This window comes from Homo sapiens, chromosome 7, assembly GCF_000001405.40.
Source record: "Homo sapiens chromosome 7, GRCh38.p14 Primary Assembly".
Classification (NCBI taxonomy): domain Eukaryota; kingdom Metazoa; phylum Chordata; class Mammalia; order Primates; family Hominidae; genus Homo; species Homo sapiens.
In genome coordinates this window covers 44,394,100-44,413,084 of record NC_000007.14, presented here as the reverse complement: position 1 = coordinate 44,413,084, position 18,985 = coordinate 44,394,100, and the positions used below count along the sequence as shown (strand labels likewise).

General features: G+C 44.6%; 1 protein-coding gene across 2 annotated transcripts in view; it reads left to right on the top strand.

Annotated features, from left to right (window-relative positions):
• The window catches only part of NUDCD3 (NudC domain containing 3), a 111,540-nt gene that overhangs the window by 77,574 nt on the left and 14,981 nt on the right, over positions 1 to 18,985 (top strand). For both annotated transcript variants that reach the window (NM_015332.4, XM_011515247.3), the window contains exon 4: positions 8,502 to 8,645. In NM_015332.4, the coding sequence (NP_056147.2) occupies positions 8,502 to 8,645 (144 nt within the window). The remainder of the gene's footprint in view (positions 1 to 8,501; positions 8,646 to 18,985) is intronic.

Genomic DNA, 18,985 nt, shown 5'->3' with positions numbered 1-18,985 from the left:
AGCAGATTGCGTTTGGTAGAGTTTCTTTGGTCAGTTATTTGAACTCTTGCTGCCTTATAATCCACTTTGATCTTTTTACCCCATTAGAATAGTTTTGTCTGAATTCTGCCAATGGTCAATGGTTTCTTTCTTTTTTTTTTTCTTTTTTTTTTTTTTTTGAGACGGCGTCTCGCTCTGTCGCCCAGGCTGGAGTGCAGTGGCGTGATCTCAGCTCACTGCAAGCTCCGCCCCCTGGGTTCACGCCATTCTCCTGCCTCAGCCTCCTGAGTAGCTGGGAATACAGGCGCCTGCCACTACGCCCAACTAATTTTTTGTATATTTAGTAGAGACGGGGCTTCACCGTGTTAGCCAGGATGGCCTCGATCTCCTGACCTCATGATCCACCTGCCTCGGCCTCCCAAAGTGCTGAGATTATAGGCGTGAGCCACTGCGCCCGGCCCTGCCAATGGTTTCTAATTTAATTGTTGCAGAAATGAAATGATTTGTTTTCTTCATAGAAGACTTCTAAGTGGCAATTTGGGCCCCATCTCATTTGTTCATAACCAACAGCCTAACATAGTATGAATTGTATCACTTACAGTTGATCTTCCCATTGTATTTGATTAGATACAGGCGTTCTAAAATGCAAATGTTTAAAAAATACAGATAGAACTTGAAATTGAACAAAATTAGATACAACTGAAGCTGAAAATGGACACTTGATTTTTAAAAATTGTAATAAAATGATCTAGATTGTATACACCATCTGTTACAAGTTGTATGTGAATAAGGATTTTGTGCCATGTTGGTTGTGAGTACTCTGGGTTTTAAACCAGTTTTTGCATCGAATATAACTTTAATTATGCTCAGTACACGTGGATGTGTTTTTTGGATATATCCACACACAGTGTACTTGCATGTGTATCTTCATCTTATTTATTGTTTGGTAAGGGACACATTGCTCAGCTTCCTGGATATCTTCCTAGTCTTAGAGGGGCCTCAGTGGTAGAGTTCTTATCAGAACCTAAGGGTGATGACCTCTGGCCTGTGACATGGCATCTGCCTGAACATGAGTGTGCCACAAGATTGTATCTAAGGTGGTCTCAATCTCTTTTCTTCCTTCAGACTGCCTTGCTTGTCCTTTGCTGGCATCTGAGGACTTGTCCTGTGGAATGAGGCTAGAAAGAGGCGTCTCTGTATTTCCCCACTGTGCATCTACTTGTACCTCCAATCTTTCCCTTTACCACCCATACATGGACATATGCTTCCAGTTCTCTGGACATATGTTTTCTGTCTTCACCACTAGGGTATATACCTATGGGTGGAATTGCTGGGTCATGTGGTACCTCTATAATTAACTTTTTGAGGAACTGTCAAACAGTTTTCCAAAGTGGTTGTACCATTTTATATTTTACAGATCCACCAGAAATGTATGAGGGTGCTTATTTCTCTGTATCCTCATCAACCCTTGTTATTGTCTGTTTTGGTTTTGTTTTTTAATTGTAGCTATCCTACTGGGTATGAAGTAGGATTTCATTGTTTTGATTTGCATTTCCCTCATGACTAATAACATTGAGCATCTTTTTATGTCCTTATTTTCCACTTGTGTATCTTCTTTGGCGAAATGCCTATTCAAGTCCATATGCATGTTTTAATTGGGTTGTTTGCCTTTTTATTGTGGAGTTGTAAGACTTCTTTACGTATTCTGGATACTACACCCTTGTCAGATACATTATTTGCAGATATTTTCTCCCATTTTATGGGTTGTCTTCACTTTCTTGATACTACTCTTTGAAGCATAAAAGTTTTAAATTTTGATGAAGTCAATATTTTTTTTTTTTGCTTTGGCTGCTTGTGGTGTTATATCTAAAACCCGTTGCCTAACCCAAGATCACAGATTTTAACTCTTGCATTTAGGTTTTTGATCCATTTTGAGTTTAAAAAATTTATTATATGCTATGAAATAGTTGTCCAACTTCATTTTGAATTATTAGACCAGTTTCATTCTTTTGCATGTGAATACTCAGTTCTCATGGTACAATTACTTGAAAATACTATTCTTTTCCCATTGAATTGTCTTGGTACTCTTGTCTAAAATCAATTGATCATAAATATATGAGTTTGTTACTAGACTTTATTTTGAGATAGAGTCTCGCTCTGTTGCCAGGCTGGAGTGCAGTGACGCGATCTTGGCTCACTGCAACTTCTGCCTCCTGGGTTCAAGCGATTTCCTGCCTCAGCCTCCCGAGTAGCTGGAACTACAGGCACGCACCACCATACCTAGCTAACTTGTGTATTTTTAGTAGAAATATGGTTACCCCCTGTTGGCCAGGATAATGTCGATCTCTTGACCTCATGATCTGCCTGCCTCGGCCTCCCAGAGTGCTGGGATTACAGGTGTGAGCCACCATGCCTGGCCTGTTACTAGACTTTTTTTTTTTTGAGACAGAGTCTTGCTCTGTCCCCCAGGCTGGAGTGCAGTGGCAGGATCTCCACTCACTGCAAGCTCCACCTCCTGGGTTCACACCATTCTCCTGCCTCAGCCTCCCAAGTAGCTGGGACTACAGGCACCCGCCACCACACCCGGATAATTTTTTTTGTATTTTTAGTAGAGACGGGGTTTCACCATGTTAGCCAGGATGGTCTTGATCTTCTGACCTCGTGATCCACCCACCTCGGCCTCCCAAAGTGCTGGGATTACAGGCGTGAGCCACTGTGCCTGGCTGTTTTTAGACTTTTAATTCTGTTCCATTGATCTGTATAGATGCCTGTCCTTATGCCAGTACCACACTGTTTTGATTACTGTAGCTTTATAGTAAGTTCTGAAGATTTTATTCCTTGTTTTTGTTCTGTTCCTTCATTATTGACTTGGCTTTTTTGACAGTTTGATTATGACATCTAGGTGAGGCTGGCTCCCTTTTAGTTTATTTTACTTGGAATTCATTGAGCTTCTTGGGTGTAATTTTTTTCATGTCAAATTTGGAAAGTTTTTAGCCATTATTCTTTCAAATATTCTTTCTTCTTTTCTCTTCTGTATGTTGGTATGCTTAATAGTGTCCCTCAGGTTCTGTGACTCTGTTTATTTTTCTTCACTGTTTTTTCCTCCTGTTTCGCAGTTTGGGTAATCTCAATTGACCTGTCTTCAAGTTTGCTTGTTCTTTCTTCTAAATGCTAAAAAGTGGTTTTGAGCCCCTTTCATGAACGCTTATCTTTTCCCCCTTTTACTTTTGAACTCCAGAATTTGTATTTGATTCTTAAAAAAATGGTAATAATAATTTCTATCTCGTTATCAGTATCAATAGTGATACTGATATTTATTGATATTCTCTACTTAAAAGACGTTATTCCCATACTTTCCTTTAGTAATTTTTGCATAGTTTTCTTAGCTCTTTGAGCATATTTAAAATAGGTGATTTAGAGACTGTTTTCTGCTAAGTTCTTCATATGTGGGCTTCCTCAGGGACAGATTTTATTGATTGCTTTCTTTTTCCTATGTATGGGCCATACTTTGTTGTTTCTTTGTCTAATTTTTTTTTTTTTGCTGTTATTGAGAAATGGATTTTTAAATAACACAATGGGGTGACTCAGGAAATCAGATGCTCCTTTCTTCCCATGGTTGCTATTGGTACGTGATATAGTTGTTCTTGTTTAATGACTTTTCTGAACTAATTCTGTAAAGTTTGTATTCTTTATTGTGTCTGACCAGTGAAATCTGTACTTGGTGAACTTAGTGGCCAAGTAATTATTAGATGGCGATTTCCTTAAACTCCTGGGATCAGTAAACACCTGTTTTTGTCGAGGGGCTTCATCTACCTGTTGGAGCATACCTTCATTGCTTGGCCTAACAGTTAAAAACTGCCTTAGCCTTTATTTCCTGCTGATGTTGAGTCAAAGTCAGCCAGAGGTGAGAGCTTAAGGCCTTCTTAGGTTTTTCCTGAGTGTGCAGTGAAGCTCTGTACATTCATGTGTCTTTCTAGATTCCTGGGAAAATGTCAAAGCTTTTCAAAGCCCCCACGGACATTTTATTTCCCACCTTTGCCTTTGGTTTGCCTCAGTTGTTATCTGCCACCTCAGGAGGCTGCAAAGTTAAAACACTTGCCGTATTTTCAACAGACACTCCTGGGTTGGGAGGAAGGCTTTTCTGAGTTTAGCCAGAAACAGTCAGTCAGTCTTGCAAATGAGGTCTTACAGGGAACCATCAGACAGGTCAAATGATGACAGTTCTTTGAGAATGAAGCTTTGAAAGAGCTCTAAGAGCACTGTTTTCTCCAGCGATGGCTGCTACGCTGTACCAGGAATGCGGCCTGCTGAGAGCCTGGAGAGTGGGGATGGGTCTAGGCCAAATTAAAATATCACAGAGCTCACTGTTCTTACTGAGATGTGGTTGTTTTCCTTGAATTAATGCTCCCTGGGTTCCTGCAAACCTTTGGTTAGTTTCCAAAATCCATAAGAAGTTGATACTGACAATTTTTGCCAACTTTTTGGTTGCTTTTATGGAGGAGAGCTTTTTGGAGGCCTGTAGTAACCACCATTTTCACTGACATCCTTTGGATCAGGAATCTCTTAAATCTTTTTTGTTTTCCTGAGGGTTCTTGCTGCCCTTCTTTTTTATCTTGTTATCAAAAATAGTATACTTCATCATAACCTCAGAATTACCCAGATTCATTAATACTGAGTATTGTCTAGAAATCTCTTTCTGCCTGAACTCCACTCTAGACTGGTTATTTCCTGTTCTGCTGTATAGCTACACTCCTGGTATTTTCTTCCTGCGTTTATAGATTAAATGCAGTTTTTGGACTTGAGTTGGATATTCCTCTTTTTCAGTTTTCATCCTCATTTTGTTTTTCTCAAAGTGATATATAATGTAGAATTGTTGTATATCTTAAAATGCATTTATTTTAACTTTTCACTTATTTCTCAGTTTGGGTGTATGTAGAATTCTAGCTTAAAAATAATTTTCCCTTGTTAGGATTGAAAGGGATATCTTCTTACACTCTGTGTAATTGATTCTGGAAGTCTATTCCATCTCTTTGTGAGTAAGCTTTTTCTCCTCCTTGGAACTTTCAGGACCTTTTTAAAAACACCCAGTGTCATAAAATTTCATGAGTCTTTCATTCATTCTGCTTAGCTCTTGGTGGGACTTTTCAATCTGGAGGCATATTTTCCTTTGGCTCTGGAAAATTATCTTATTACTGTCATAATTTCTGGAATGCCAAATTGATTGCCTGAATTGATCTGTGTTTCTACCTTGATTTCTTTGACTTTATCTTCCAGCCTCTTTATTGAAGTTTAATTTTAGCTACTGTATTTTAAATTCTTGTGTTCTTTCTTTTTGGCCTAATTGTTCTATTTTCATATTTTATTCTGGTTATATGGATATAGTGTCTTCTCAGATCTCTGTGAAGACATAAAATAGAAATATTTTTGGATATCTTTTTTCCAAATTAGCTCTGTATTTTTTTTTAACTTGTTTTCATCTGCCTGTTTTTTCTCACAAGATGCAGTCTTCAGTTCTCTAGTTTTTTTTTTTTTTTTTTTTGAGACAGAATTTCACTCCTGTTGCTCAGGCTCCTGTTGCAATGGTGCAGTCTCGGCTCACCGCAACCTCTGCCTCCCAGGTTCAAGCGATTCTCCTGCCTCAGCCTCCGGAGTAGCTGGGGTTACAGGCATACAACACCACGCCTGGCTAATTTTGTATTTTTGGTAGAGACGGGGTTTCTCCATGTTGGTCAGGCTGGTCTCGAACTGTCAACCTTAGGTGATCTGCCTGCCTCGGCCTCCTAAAGTGCTGAGATTACAGGTGTGAGCCACCATGCCCGGTCTTTTTTTTTTTTTTAATACAAAAATATTTTTCTCCCATTCTCTTGAGTGTGGGACCGTATTGATGGGTTTGTCTACTGTGTGTCTGAAACCTGCTCGTCCCACCACCACCGACAGCTGAGTGGATTGACCAGTCAGCTTTGCTTTATAGGACATAGGGTCTTGGCATCCTAATGCTTGAGTGAGTAGGACTTCACTTGACACACAGGCATCCACACTAGGTCCTCAGACTGCTGGTCAGTGTCTTTGGAGCAAGGTCCTCCATTCTTCTGTAGCAAACAGAGGGATTCCTGTCCCTTTCAGTGGGGCGTCCAGGGCCACAGCAGTTCCCACATGTGCCCCTGGCCTTGCTCCTGCTCTGCATACCTGCCGACTCCCAACTGGAGCCTATGTAGCTGTGGCTTCTGGATGTCTCCTACCCTATAGGATTTGTCTCCTGTGCCCCTCCTCCTTTTGTCTTCTGCAGATTTGTTGACATCTCATCTGTTCCTGGCCTCCCTCTTCCCCCATTTTCACTGTCTGGGGTTTTTCTCTTCATGCCTATTATGCCTGCAGTTCACAAGAGGTCAGAGAGATGGCTGTCTGTTCCCAGTGTGACATCTTCACCTGGGACCTCTGGAAGCATTTCTTGTCTGGTTTTCTCCCTTGATGATTTGGTTCATTCCCCTGGGTAGGCAGTGTGAGAAGCTTCCCCAAATTTGGAAATTATTATGTTATATAGAGCTGGGTGGGAGAATTATATTTGTTAAGTGAGCTTGTTCTTGTGAAGGCAGGCTGAGGAGCCTTGGGCCCTCTGTGTCGTGTTTCCATTGCACACAAGTTCATGGTTAGACATGATTTGGCCCAACATGTGTCTGGATCATTTCAGGAGTGAGTGGATCTGTTGTTCCATTTGCTCACGTTCCTCATGGTGTTAGAAGGTAGGGAGTGAAGCTCAGTTGCCTATTGTTCAATAGGACTAGCCAAGTAAATACCCTTTTCCGTGGTAAATTCCCCTATGAAAGGTCATGCAAGTGGAACTGCGATCTCATGAGAGGATGCTTCCTTGGAGTCTGCATGTGAACCTGGCAGAGCCGCCTGTGGTTAGCAGAATATCTTCGCTGTGTCCCCCAGTGGGCAGCCTTCTGCCACCTTCTCCCCTCACTGCATGGCTCAGGAACTATCTTTCATTTAGTAACTATCTGATGGGCTGGATGTGGTGGCTCACATGTGTCATCCCAGCACTTTGGGAGGCTGAGGCAGTAGGATCACTTGGGGCCAAGAGTTCGAGACCAGCCTGGGCAACAGCAAGACCCCTGTCTCTACAAAAAATAAAAATAAAATTAGCCAGGCATGGTGGCACGTACCTGTAGTCCCAGTTACTCGGGAGGCTGAGGTGGAGGGATTGCTTCAGCCCAGGAGTTTGATGCAGCAGTGAGCTGGGATCACGCCACTGCACTCCAGCCTGGGCAATGCAGTGAGGCCGTGTCTCTTAAAGAAAAAGAAGAAAAACTGACAGCGGTGACTCCTGCACATCATTTCTCCCATTTCCATTTTTTATTTACGAATATTTAAACTACAGTTAGGTTATGGTATTGTATTTCATTGGAAATACTAAACTCCAGTTTGGAAAATCTATCAGTTTGGGTTGTCTTTTTTTCCAATCATTTTATAAGCGTTTAATGAGCCATCTACCAAATGACATGGAGAGTAGCTTCCAAATTATTTTTATTCCACATACCTATTAGAAAAAAGTTTTAAGTACTTGATCCCAGTGTCTTCTTAATGCATACATTATACAGATACAAAATGTAAATGGAAGTTCTGTTTTATTTCCTCTTCTAATTACTGACCTGTGAACCTCCTGGGGTATGCATACCCTGCTTTGGAGACTGCTGGCTGGAATACATGATATGAAGTAAAAGGAACCCTACTCCCACAGCTGCCAGTCCAGTTCTGGAGACGGACAAGTGGTGGGGCAGGGATAGGTGTTCCTAGGGCGGTGGGGAAGGCCATGGGGCCAGTCTCTGCCTAGGACAGGCTCAGAGGGAGGAGGGTGAGCTGAGGCTTTTAGAGGCTTGGTTTTGTAAAGAACCAAGACAAAATGCAAAACCATGTGCGAGTGTTGGTGGTATATTGGTGAGCATAGCTGCCTTCCAAAACCAAAGGAGTTGGTCTCATACTCTTGGATGAAGACCAGGCTATAGTCAACCAGGCAGTGCAGTGGCTCATGGAAGGAAGAGGTGGTGCTTGTCTCTTGTACAGCAGTCCTGGGGTGAGCAATTCAGGGTGTGCAGCCCCCTCAGCTTTCTTGGTTGCTGTGGTCCAGGGCTGGGCTCCTGCGTCTCCCAGGTAGCCACAAGGGGAGGCAAGGAAGAAATACCACTTGTCTCCTCTGCTCACTTTTTGCTGTGACAATTGGTCTCCGTTAACTGGAGAAGGGAGAAGAAGATTGGGTCACAGCAGCTTCCACCACAGCATTTTACGTTACCAGTTATGCTGAGAAAGATTTTCTGGTGGATTTACTAAATGAGCTGACATCTTCAGGTTGCTCTAGGTATAAATTAGGCTGGTATGGTTTTCTTCACTGAGATGCCTGGTGAGCCTGATGACAGCGCTGTAGTGTGCAGTCAGGTACCTTGGAAACCATCACCACTCCCACCGTACAGCACACCAGTGGTCACCCTGATAGGAGAGATGATTTTCTTCTGCTGTGTCCCCAGGTCTCAGTGGCCCTTAGCAGCAGCTCCATTCGTGTGGCCATGCTGGAGGAAAATGGGGAGCGCGTCCTCATGGAAGGGAAGCTCACCCACAAGATCAACACTGAGAGTTCTCTCTGGAGTCTCGAGCCCGGGAAGTGCGTTTTGGTAAGTTTGGGCACCTGTGTGTAGGGCTCCCAGGTGGACTTCAAACCTGCAGTGATGCCCCTTTTGACCAACAAGCCTATTTACACTTAAGCAGTGAGGTTGTTAATTTCAGCTGCTGGGGCAGATGGGTTTTCCTGAGCATTTTCCATACTGCTCAGAGATCGTCTCTGTGGGCACTTGAGCTTTGGCCCTTTGAGGTCTTGGTCATTCCCAAGAGCTCCACTGTTCTTACATCTAAGGCAAAAACAAGTAAATTGAAAATGAAAAGCTAGGTTGAATTTTTACAGATGCTACTCTGGAGGGTACAGAGTTAATAAATTCAGAGAATCAGGCTCATTGACCAACTGGCTGTCCTTAGCCAGCTGCTGGTTAGGCATAGCTAAGAGTTCAGGACAGTGAGATTAAGGTGTGACTCCAAATGAACAGCTCACATGTTACCAGTTAGCAGACTCGCTCACAAATTGGGCTGCACGCCTGGGCCAGATCTGTTGGTGGCTCAGCTCCTTCTCCCCTGTGAAAGCTTTGAACCTTGTCAGTGGTGGCTCTGTGCTGGTGCCCAAGTGGAGGTCACCTACAGATAAATTGAGGCACAACATGTTCTGAACTAACTTGTTTCCTTTTTTTCTCCTACTGGGGTGTTTACAGGGCATGGTAAAAGGAATAAAGGTGAAAAGAAAAATATAATGTCTGGACAAAAGTCTTTAGAATTTTATACAGATATATTCTTCATATGTGCAAAGTATGCAATAAAGGTATCTGTTTTGGTTTCTATAAGACATGCTTGGCAGGCTTCTGCCTGGGCTTCCCTGGCCAGTGCTGACTGGCAGGGACAAACTATCTCTCAGGCTCACAGTGACTCTGTCCTGGCTGTCCTCATGCTCGGAGGGACATGCAGGCCAGGTACCGAAAGGAGTGTATTCTGTCAGTGCTGCAGAAACCTGGACCAACCTTGACTCTGGTCTTGATATCAAACCTGGACAATGGAGCTCACTCTGGCTACACAGAGGTGGGGCCAACCTGGGCACAGACAACATGCTCCTTGGTGCTGCCGTGGCCTCAACTGCTCACTCTCCTAGTGAGTGTTTCATCCTAAGCAGGGCCTCCTATTTAGGCCCTACGTGAGGCCCTATGTGTGATGTGTAGAGTTTCCAGCAATGGGGCTTGGACTGGCCCATCCCAGTTCTGACTCTCCTGGCCACCCAGGGCCTACCTCTGCTGATGGCCAGTGGTAGATGGCAGTGGTTCTTTTTCTAAATCTCACCCTGTGTGCTCCCCTGCCCATGGCATTCAGCAGCCAAAGACCAGAGAAGTGCTCTTCTCCTGCCTGCAAATACTGTGAAGATCACCCCATCACCCAGCAGTTCAGTTCCTCATCCTTTGACCCCAGACATATAAAGCCTGTGCATTATGACACAGCCTGGAGCCTTTTCCCAAGCTATAGGCTCCTGTGACTACTACCAGTTCCTTTCCTTTATGTCATACTTGACTTTGCAGATGCCATTACGGCCTCTCCCTCACTTGAGCTTCACGTGGTTGTGGAGGTATGAGAGCATGAGTGATGCACTAGTAGTACTGGGGCCGGCTAGCTTGCCCTCTGAAGGTGCAGCCCTGGCCGCCTGTATTACACTAGTGAGCCCGTGATCCTGGGGTTGCCATCTCCATGGACTGAGAGGTCGTGATAGCCCTGCCTTAAAACACTGGCCTTGACTCTCCTGCCTTCCGTTGGGTGAACTCAGTGCAGATCATGGAGCAGGTCACGATGCTCTCAAGTTGGTTCCCTCTGAGCGAGGAGCTCTTGGTGAGCAACCCCGTGTGTGGTCCGGTTGCACTTTTTAGATACTTCATGCAGAAGCCCAAAGCCTTAGTCACTGGTCTCTGAGCCCATAGCCACCGTATTTGGAATCTTTTGGGATTACAATCAGGGTACCAATGATTCCTTTTACTTTACACTATTTGCATAAATATGTGATTATTAATACATAGCTCAACTCTTAAGGGTTTTGTTGACGGAAGTAACTCTAACTTCTTCGTGGATATTTCAAAGCCATGTTTCTTTTTTGTGTGCGTTTTGTACACTTGTATGTATAATACAAGTGGAATAGGGATGTGACTAGTGGCCAAAACATTAACTTCTTTTAATAATGGCCGCCATTCAATGAACACAGTCTTTGGGCCAGGCTCTTTGTGAGGTGCCTTACAATCTGTTTAATTCTCTGCAAACTTATTTTACGTATTGGGACATTGAGGCTATGAGAAGGTAAGTAGCTTGCGAAGCGGGTAGAGCTAGACCTCAAACCCATGCCTGCCTTGTCCCAGAAGGCTTTTTCCAGTGCTGTGAGAAACGGGAGTCTCTGGAGAAGGCTCAGACCTGTCGGGGCTGGGAAGCATTGCTCCGTTTCAGCTGAAAGGCTCTGTGGAGCAGAACATGAGGGAGGAGTGTGGGTCCCCATTGTGGGTTTCAGAGTCTTCCCTGTGTTAGGTAAATGTGTGAGATGCAGCCACCAGGCAGGAGGTTGGGGGAGCTGTGCCTTAAGAGGATAGCTGGATGTTTAACTTTCATGCCAGGGCCCCCGGGGCCATAGCACAATCCCGGCAGGCCTGTCTCCACCTGTGTGTTCTGCTTGAGTCCAGGCTTCATTTGTGCCCTGGCTGCCTTTAGTTTTTTTAGTTAGCTTTCATGAAACACCTGCTACTCAAAGAGCTTGTAGAAATTCAGCAGAACCATTGCAGACTGAGGGGCACCTGTCACTGCCCGTGAACACGGCTCCTAAATATTCTCTGCTAAAAATTCCTCTACAATTGAAACACTGCATGAGTTCTTTCCCATGGTTCCTTAAAGTGCCTTTATTATCAATAGATGGCATTGCGTTCCTAATGCACCTTCACCTGTGAGAAATCAAGTACCTGAATAAAGAGGAGTTATGGAGAGCATTTAAACTCTTCCCATAGTGCTCCCGTGCAGGGCTCTGCCTGCCTCCACCTCTTTCTGGACCACGTAGCCTCTACTGCAGTAAACACAGAGTATATCACAGAAACTTTGCTGTTTACAGGAGCTAAGGCGTTTGTTGTCTTCTTGATATAATTATTTATTTATGTGTGACCTTTTAAGCCCACATTGTTTCCTCTGATTACATATCTGAGATAATATTGTGAATTAATGAGCCGATTGCTTTGATTCACGAAGATCCTGTTTGCCTCCCGCTTGCTGCATCACGTCTGCTGTGTGGAGCTTGGCACACTGCTTTGAGCGTGTGGATGCAGAGAGGGACTGCAGGTGAATCAGAGGGGCTGGCTTTGGGTTGCAGCTCCCTGTCAAGCAGCTGCCAGGTTTTGGGTCATCTCTTTAGCCTTGCTGTACTTCCATTTCTCACCGTTCAAACAAGGTTGAGCACTGTAGTCTTGTTGATCTCCAATGTTTGTTGGTTTCTTATCATTAAGTACCCAACCCTGTGCAGGCACTGGGAATGGCTAAAGAAAGTGAGTTGAGGGCTTTGCTCTAAAGGGTTGGAGATATCCTGTGAATGTGGCCTTATTTGGGAAAAGGGTCTTTGTAGATATGATTAAGTTAAGGATCTCTCAAGATGGAATCACCCTGGATTATCCAGTGACACCTGTCTTTATAAGAAACAGGAGAAGACAGAGATAGACACAGAGAAGGCCATGAGAAGATAGGGCAGAGATGAATGATATAACCACCAAGCCCAGGAACACCTGGAGCCACCAGAAGCTGGAAATGGCAGGAAGGATCCTCCCCTAGAGTCTCTGCAGGAGCATGGCCCTACTGACACCTTGATTTCAGAGTTCTGGCCCATGGGGCTGGGAGATAATAAATTTGTATTGCCTTGTATCGCCTGGTCTGTTGTTCCCTGTTAGGGCAGCCCCAGACACCAGTGCAGGTCTCCCATCACAGCACTGCTGTGAGGCTGCATGAGATGAGAAGGATGCAAAGGGATGGCGTCCAGAGCTGCGCTGCTGCCACCACCCTCAGCTCCTTGGTTAGATATTCTGACCTTCTGACCTCCTGGCAGCCCAGTGCAGACATGGCCTTCGCTTCCCAGCTGCCTTCCACATAACCTGCTCCTCCCTGTGCCGTGGATCCCACATCAGCCAGCCAGGGCAGGCAGGGGTGGCTGCTAAAACCGTATGACAGTTCTTGCCTCCCTCCCTCCCTCCCACACTTCAGAATGTTAAATGAGACTTCTTGACTCAGGCAAGCTCCTTTCTTGGTTACGAAGATGTAAAATCAGCCGTGGCAACGGCACCAGCTCTTTTTTCCGATAGCTCGTTCAGTCCCCAAAGCTAGGCAGTTGGCATGCGCACCATCCTCCTTTCTTCCTGCAGTCGGGGGAGCTGACAGGCTGTCCTCCATGCTGCCGTGGGTGGCTGCTCTGCTGCGGGGGCTCTTGGACATGGCTATGCTTGAGATGGTCGTTGTAGCTGTATGTGAGGTGAATGCCGTTCCATATACACTTCTTCATGTATTGACGTGGTGCGCACACAAGTCATTTAAAATCAGTGAAATTGCTCTGGAGTATTCTTTGAGGAGTTAGACCTTGAAGCTCAGGCTTTAAAACTCATCGTAATATATTTGTTTATGATTTTTGAACCCTGTGAGTGTTTTTGTGCAAGCTGTATCCACCTCCTCCCCTCAATTTAGATTATTTCTCAAGAGTGGAATTCTAGTGTAACTGCAGCCTCTGAGCTGTTGCTGTGGTTCTCCCTGGTGGATGAGTTGTTTCTGGAGTGTCGCCGATGACATTAGCCCTATATCCCCACATCCCCACCAACAGTGGGCTTTTCATCTTCACTTATCTTTGCTAATTTACCCAGATACTTCCAGTGTCACTTCTTAGAACAATTGTGAGGATAAAATGAAGATGGGTGGTTTATTGTCTACTTGTCCTCATTGGCGAGCCACTTTCCTGAGTCCCCACAACTTTCCTGGCTCATTGAGGCCATCCCATGGATTACTTAACATACTTCTTCATAAACTCAGAGTGGGAACTACAGATTAAATTACCTTAGCATTTTGGCAAGAGCCCAGAGCCTGGAAATTAGTATGTGAATGTAATGTGAGCCCTTAAGCCTTCAGTGCAAGTGATGTCTCTAGGGAGAGCCCTCAGCGTTTTTCAGGGGAAATCAGAATCCTTCATCAGTTCCAGTAGGGAAGAGCTGAAGCTTACAGATTTAACAGAAGGCGGTAGCCCAAGGAAACCTGTTCCAGTGTGAGTGGAAGGAATGTGCTGAGCAGAGCCGGCTAATGGTGCCTCTTGGTGGCACCATGGACAGGGTGCTGGGCACCCTCGTTTCATGGGGTTGGAGGAGAGGAAAGGAACGCAGCTCGGCATTGCTTTGTCGGCCCCATCCCTGGAATACATGGGCCTTCCAGCCACACTCAGACCACAGCTGGGTCCTATCTGGCCTATACAGTGTCTTAATTTTGTTTCTAATTTTCAAGCTTAAAAAAATATTTGACAGCATTGAAAATCAGGAGATTGCTCATAACAGTGCTGACTTGTGGTGTGTCCTGAGAAGCCAGATCTGCTCCATTGTGGCCCACATTCCCCCAGCAGCAGGTGCTGAGCAGGTGCCCTGGACCTCTGCCACGCTGTCGTCTCACCCCGTTATCTGCCCTCGCTCTGAGGTGCCTTCCCGGAAGGAACGTCCCACAACATTCCCATAAGTCTCATTGGCCCAGTCTCGATCACGCGGGCAGCTGTGAGGAGTAAAGTCGTCCTCGCTGGGCACATTGCTTCCCTGAATAGAAATGAGGTTCCGTTACTAAGGAAGGAAAGGGATATAAATGCTGGTGAGTCATCAGCGCAGATTGGGGGATGCTGAGGTAAGTTTATTCATGTTGAGGTGGAAGTTTCTGTGAGGACATTTTGGGAACACTGTTCAGCCTGCAGTCTGGGGTCCCTCAGAAATGGACTGATTAGAGGTCTGGGACTGGGTAGATAAAAGAGGAACCTGGAGCATTTTGTTATGCTGGAAAATGAGAACGTGCCAGGGAAATGATTGAGCACCATCAAAGTCAAGCAACCTCCACCAACCTTGTCTGGGATTGTTTCACACCAACATAATTAAGCATGGTAATGAGTTATAAGCCATTGAGAGACCAGAGAGGCCAGGAATCCAGGGGTCAGTACTGACAGCAATAGATAGATAATTTCATTGCAGAAGAGAAGGTGCTTGCTTCAATAAGATGCATAAGCCATCAGTCAGTGTGGAGGGACTAGGGCAAGAAAGTCAGCATTTCCCAGCCTTCGTGGGACAGATGGGACCGGCAGATGCTATGCGGGGCAGGGTGGAGCAGGGATGCAGGGGTTCTGGAGAGGAGAGTTTGCAAGTCAATAACTACAGTGGAGAAGTCAGACCTCCCTTTGGCCAGGTAACCTGAGTGAACACCCCACCCACTGAGGGCTGTGGATGTTGTGTGCCTGCAGGTGGAACACATGTGTGTCCAGCTGGGTGTGCACACATGAGTTAATCAGGAGATGTCAGGGGAGGAAAAAGGCTGTGGAAATGTCCTAGATTAAAGAGGACAGGACCCCCAAGATGCAGGAAGGACTCTGGACTGGACCCTGTTCCGTAAATCATCATAAGTTATTTCCTTGTCCTTAGGAAATAACTCAGGACAAAGGGCCAAGATGAATGCAACCTATTCTTAAATGATTCAGAGAAAATACTATGTTATTATATATTATACATACAGCATACATATAGAGTGAGAGAGCTGTGTACAGACACACAGCTGCTAAACACTTGTATGGGTGTCTTTGTACTTATTCTAGTAACTTTAAGCTTAAAATTCTTTACAAATAAAATGTTAAAAAAAATGAGAAGGCTAATAAGCACATGAGAAGCTTAACGTCATGATTCATTAGGGGAATGCAAGGCAAAACCATGATGAGATGCCCCTAGACACCTCTTAGAAGAGCTGCTAAGAAGGCAGACAGCACCAAGCGCTAAATGAGATGGGGCACCTGGTGCTCTTCTGTGCTACTGGTAGGGGTGCAGCAGAGTGGTCAGTCTGGACAGTAGCTGACATCACGTGACCCAACACACGCATTCCTGGCTACTTACCAAGGAGAATAGAAAGCAGGCAGATCTCTACAGCAGCTCTCTACCTGATTGCAAAACAATGGAAATGCCCACATGTCCACAAACAAGTGTGTGGTCTGCCTGTGCCATGAAGCACAGTGTGGCTGAGCGTCAAGAGTCCCCACACTCAAAGGAGGCAGCAGATACAGGGCTGCACACTGTGTGATTCCACACATGTGACATTCTGGACACGGACATGCTGGATGGCAAAACGAGCATCGGGCTGAGAGGACTGCTGAGAAGGGGAACGGGGCTGCTGGGATGTGGGTTGATTGTAGCAGTAGCTCATGGAGATGTGACCTCAAAAGAGTGATTTTTACTATGTGCATACTATACCTCCACAAACTTGACTTTAAAAAAATAAAATATTCACAGAAAAAAACAAAAACAAATGTAAAACCATCAGACTACTTTATCAGAGGTGTTATTTTTAGATAGAGGTCTTTGAACTCCATCCTAGGAACATTGTACCCATGTCCTCCCAGAACTGCATCTTGCACTGGGTGTCGGAAGACAGCCCTGCAAGACCTGTATGCTCTGTACCATTCAGTGGTTTTTAAGGTTAACTACCAGAAGTCATATCTGAGGCCTCCCAGAAGCATTACTCTAAGGAAAGTAGTTAAATGTGGACAGTGACAGCAGAAACATTTACACATTAAACCAGTTTATAGAACATGAGAATGTTCAGAGCATAAAGAAGCTTGTCAGCTCAATGACTTACGAGGCGTGGGCCATTAAAAAAAAAGGTCTGGAGTTTGGGAAGGAGAAAGGAATGGGGATCTGCAGCTCAGAGTGAGAGATGGAATTCTGTAAAGGAACAGTGTGGAGAGGGACTCCAGGCAAGTCAATAACGATGTTAGAATGCCCTTGTTTAGAATAATTATCATGCTAATAATATTGTTCATATTGTTTTTACTAATATGCTCATCCTTAAAAATAGAAGATATTCTAAGGGTACTAAATAAATAAATAATTAAAATTTTGCAACTGAGACCTTCCTCTTCCAGAGCCTTTACAAGAACCTTTATAGACAACACCTCAGGTCCTGTTTGCTGCCCCAGCATGGAGGGCAGCCCACTTGGTTACAGTGATGACAGATGGAAACTTGACTGGAGCAGGTCTGGAAGGCAGAGGAGGCAGGCCTGTGTGTATATGGTCAGGACAAAGGACCAGTGGTGCTAGCCACACCTGTGGGATGGCTGTAATTAAACACACACACACACACACACACACACACACACACACACAACAGAAGATAACAAGTGTTGGTGAGGGTATGGAGAAACTGGAGCCATTGTATGCCGCTGGTGGGAAGGTAAAGTGGTGCAGCTGCTTTCGAAAATAGTATGGTAGTTCCTCAAAAAGTTAACTGTAGAATTACCATATGACCCAGCACTTCTGGGTAAATATACAGAAGAATTGAAAACAGGGACTCAAACAGATGTATGTACATCAATGTTCATAGCAGCATTATTCACAACAGCCAAAAAGTGGGGGCACCTGAAATGTCCATCAGTTGATGAAACAAAATGTGGTTTATCCATACAGTGGAATATTATTCAACCTTAAAAAGGAATGGAGTTCTGATTCATGCTACAACATAGATGAACATTGAGGAGGACATTATGCCAAGTGAAATAAGCCAGACAAAAACAAACAGATAACTGTATTATTCCATTTGTGTGAAATGTCCAGAACCGGCAAATCTGTAGAGGCAGAATCATTAGTAGTTGCCAGTGGCTTGGTGGGGTTGAGGGAACAATTTAGAGGAAGGGTTAGAGCAAATGGGGAGTGACTGATAATTGGCACAGGGCTTCTTTGTGAGGTAATGAAAGTGTTTTGAAACTAGATAAAGGTGATGGTTGTGCACCATTGTGGATATACTACATGCCATTGGTTCACTTTTGAATGGTAAGTTTTGTGTTAAGTGGATTTTGCCTCCATTAGAAATTGTTCAATATAAAGTCGGCTCACATCTCCTCATAAAATACCACACTGATGCACATGCGTGACGTCTGTGAGTGAGGATGGCCCCCTTGGAGAGCTGCACTGCCCAGCACAGTAGCTGCTAGCCACATGTGGCAGCTGAGTAAACACTTGACAGGTGGCTCACGTGACTGGAGAACTGAATTATTTTATTTTAATTAACTTAAATTTAAAACCTACTTGATTTAGTTACTGGAAAACCTTGAATATTTTTGAAACAACTTGGGCATGTGAATATACCCTTTCAATTGTAAATATTATGAAATCTGAACACAGATGAAGTATTTCTGATGAAAAAGTGCAGTGCTCATCTTAATTTTTGTTGGGTTCAAGTGTACTTCTGTGTCCAAAGTACACTTGTGGACACAGAAGATTTGGGGATGTTCCCCTCCTTCCTGTTGGGCAGGTGGCTCATTGTCTTCAGGTCCATCTCCCACTGTGCCCAGGAGCCCTCCACTCTGGGTGTGTGTTTGGACCTGGCCAGTGAAACCCTGTGTTGGGGTCTGTGGAGTGCCAAAAGGCCTGAGAGCACCAGCACCGTCCCCTGGATGGTATGTAGGCCGACCCCCTGCCCACATGGTGCTGATGGTGGGCTGTCAGCCCCAGTGTAGCTCTGCTTTGCCTCTTCATGCTGGGCAATCTGGAAAAGGCCCTTACTTCCAAGGGTTTGTCCTCATTTTTAAATACAAAAAATGGTATGTATGGTAAATGGTAATGGTATGTGTTTTACAGGACTTGTGAACGCTAATAAAATAAGTTACATGGATCACAGTAATAACTACTGGTGAAGATAAAAAATTCGTAAAGGATCTCTTCTTTCCAGAGATTTACAGTTCTGTGAGTTCCTCTGAAGTCTTCCCTGGAATAGAGAAAACAATGCATTTCCCTCTTGGAAGGTTTTCATTGCATCAGCTTGGTAAAGACGAGGTAGAGTTTGTAGTGTTGGGGTCTCTGAGGGTGAGTCAGGTCCCCGTCACACAAACTGTAAAGTCAACGACAAACCAGCTTAGCAGAGTATCTGGAAATGGAAGATTCATCCCAAATTTAAATTGCACACTGGCAGAGCAGCGTCATTTACTGGGTAGAGCTGGCGTGTAGGGGAGCCACCCACTCCCCCTGTTCACCACTCCCCCTATCTGCATTCGGAATGTCAGACAAGATTTCTGGGATGCTGGCTTCAGATCATGATTGCAGGTTTTTGTCTTGCTCTTCCCAGTTCTGGAAAATCTCCACTGTGTGCTCTCCCGCAC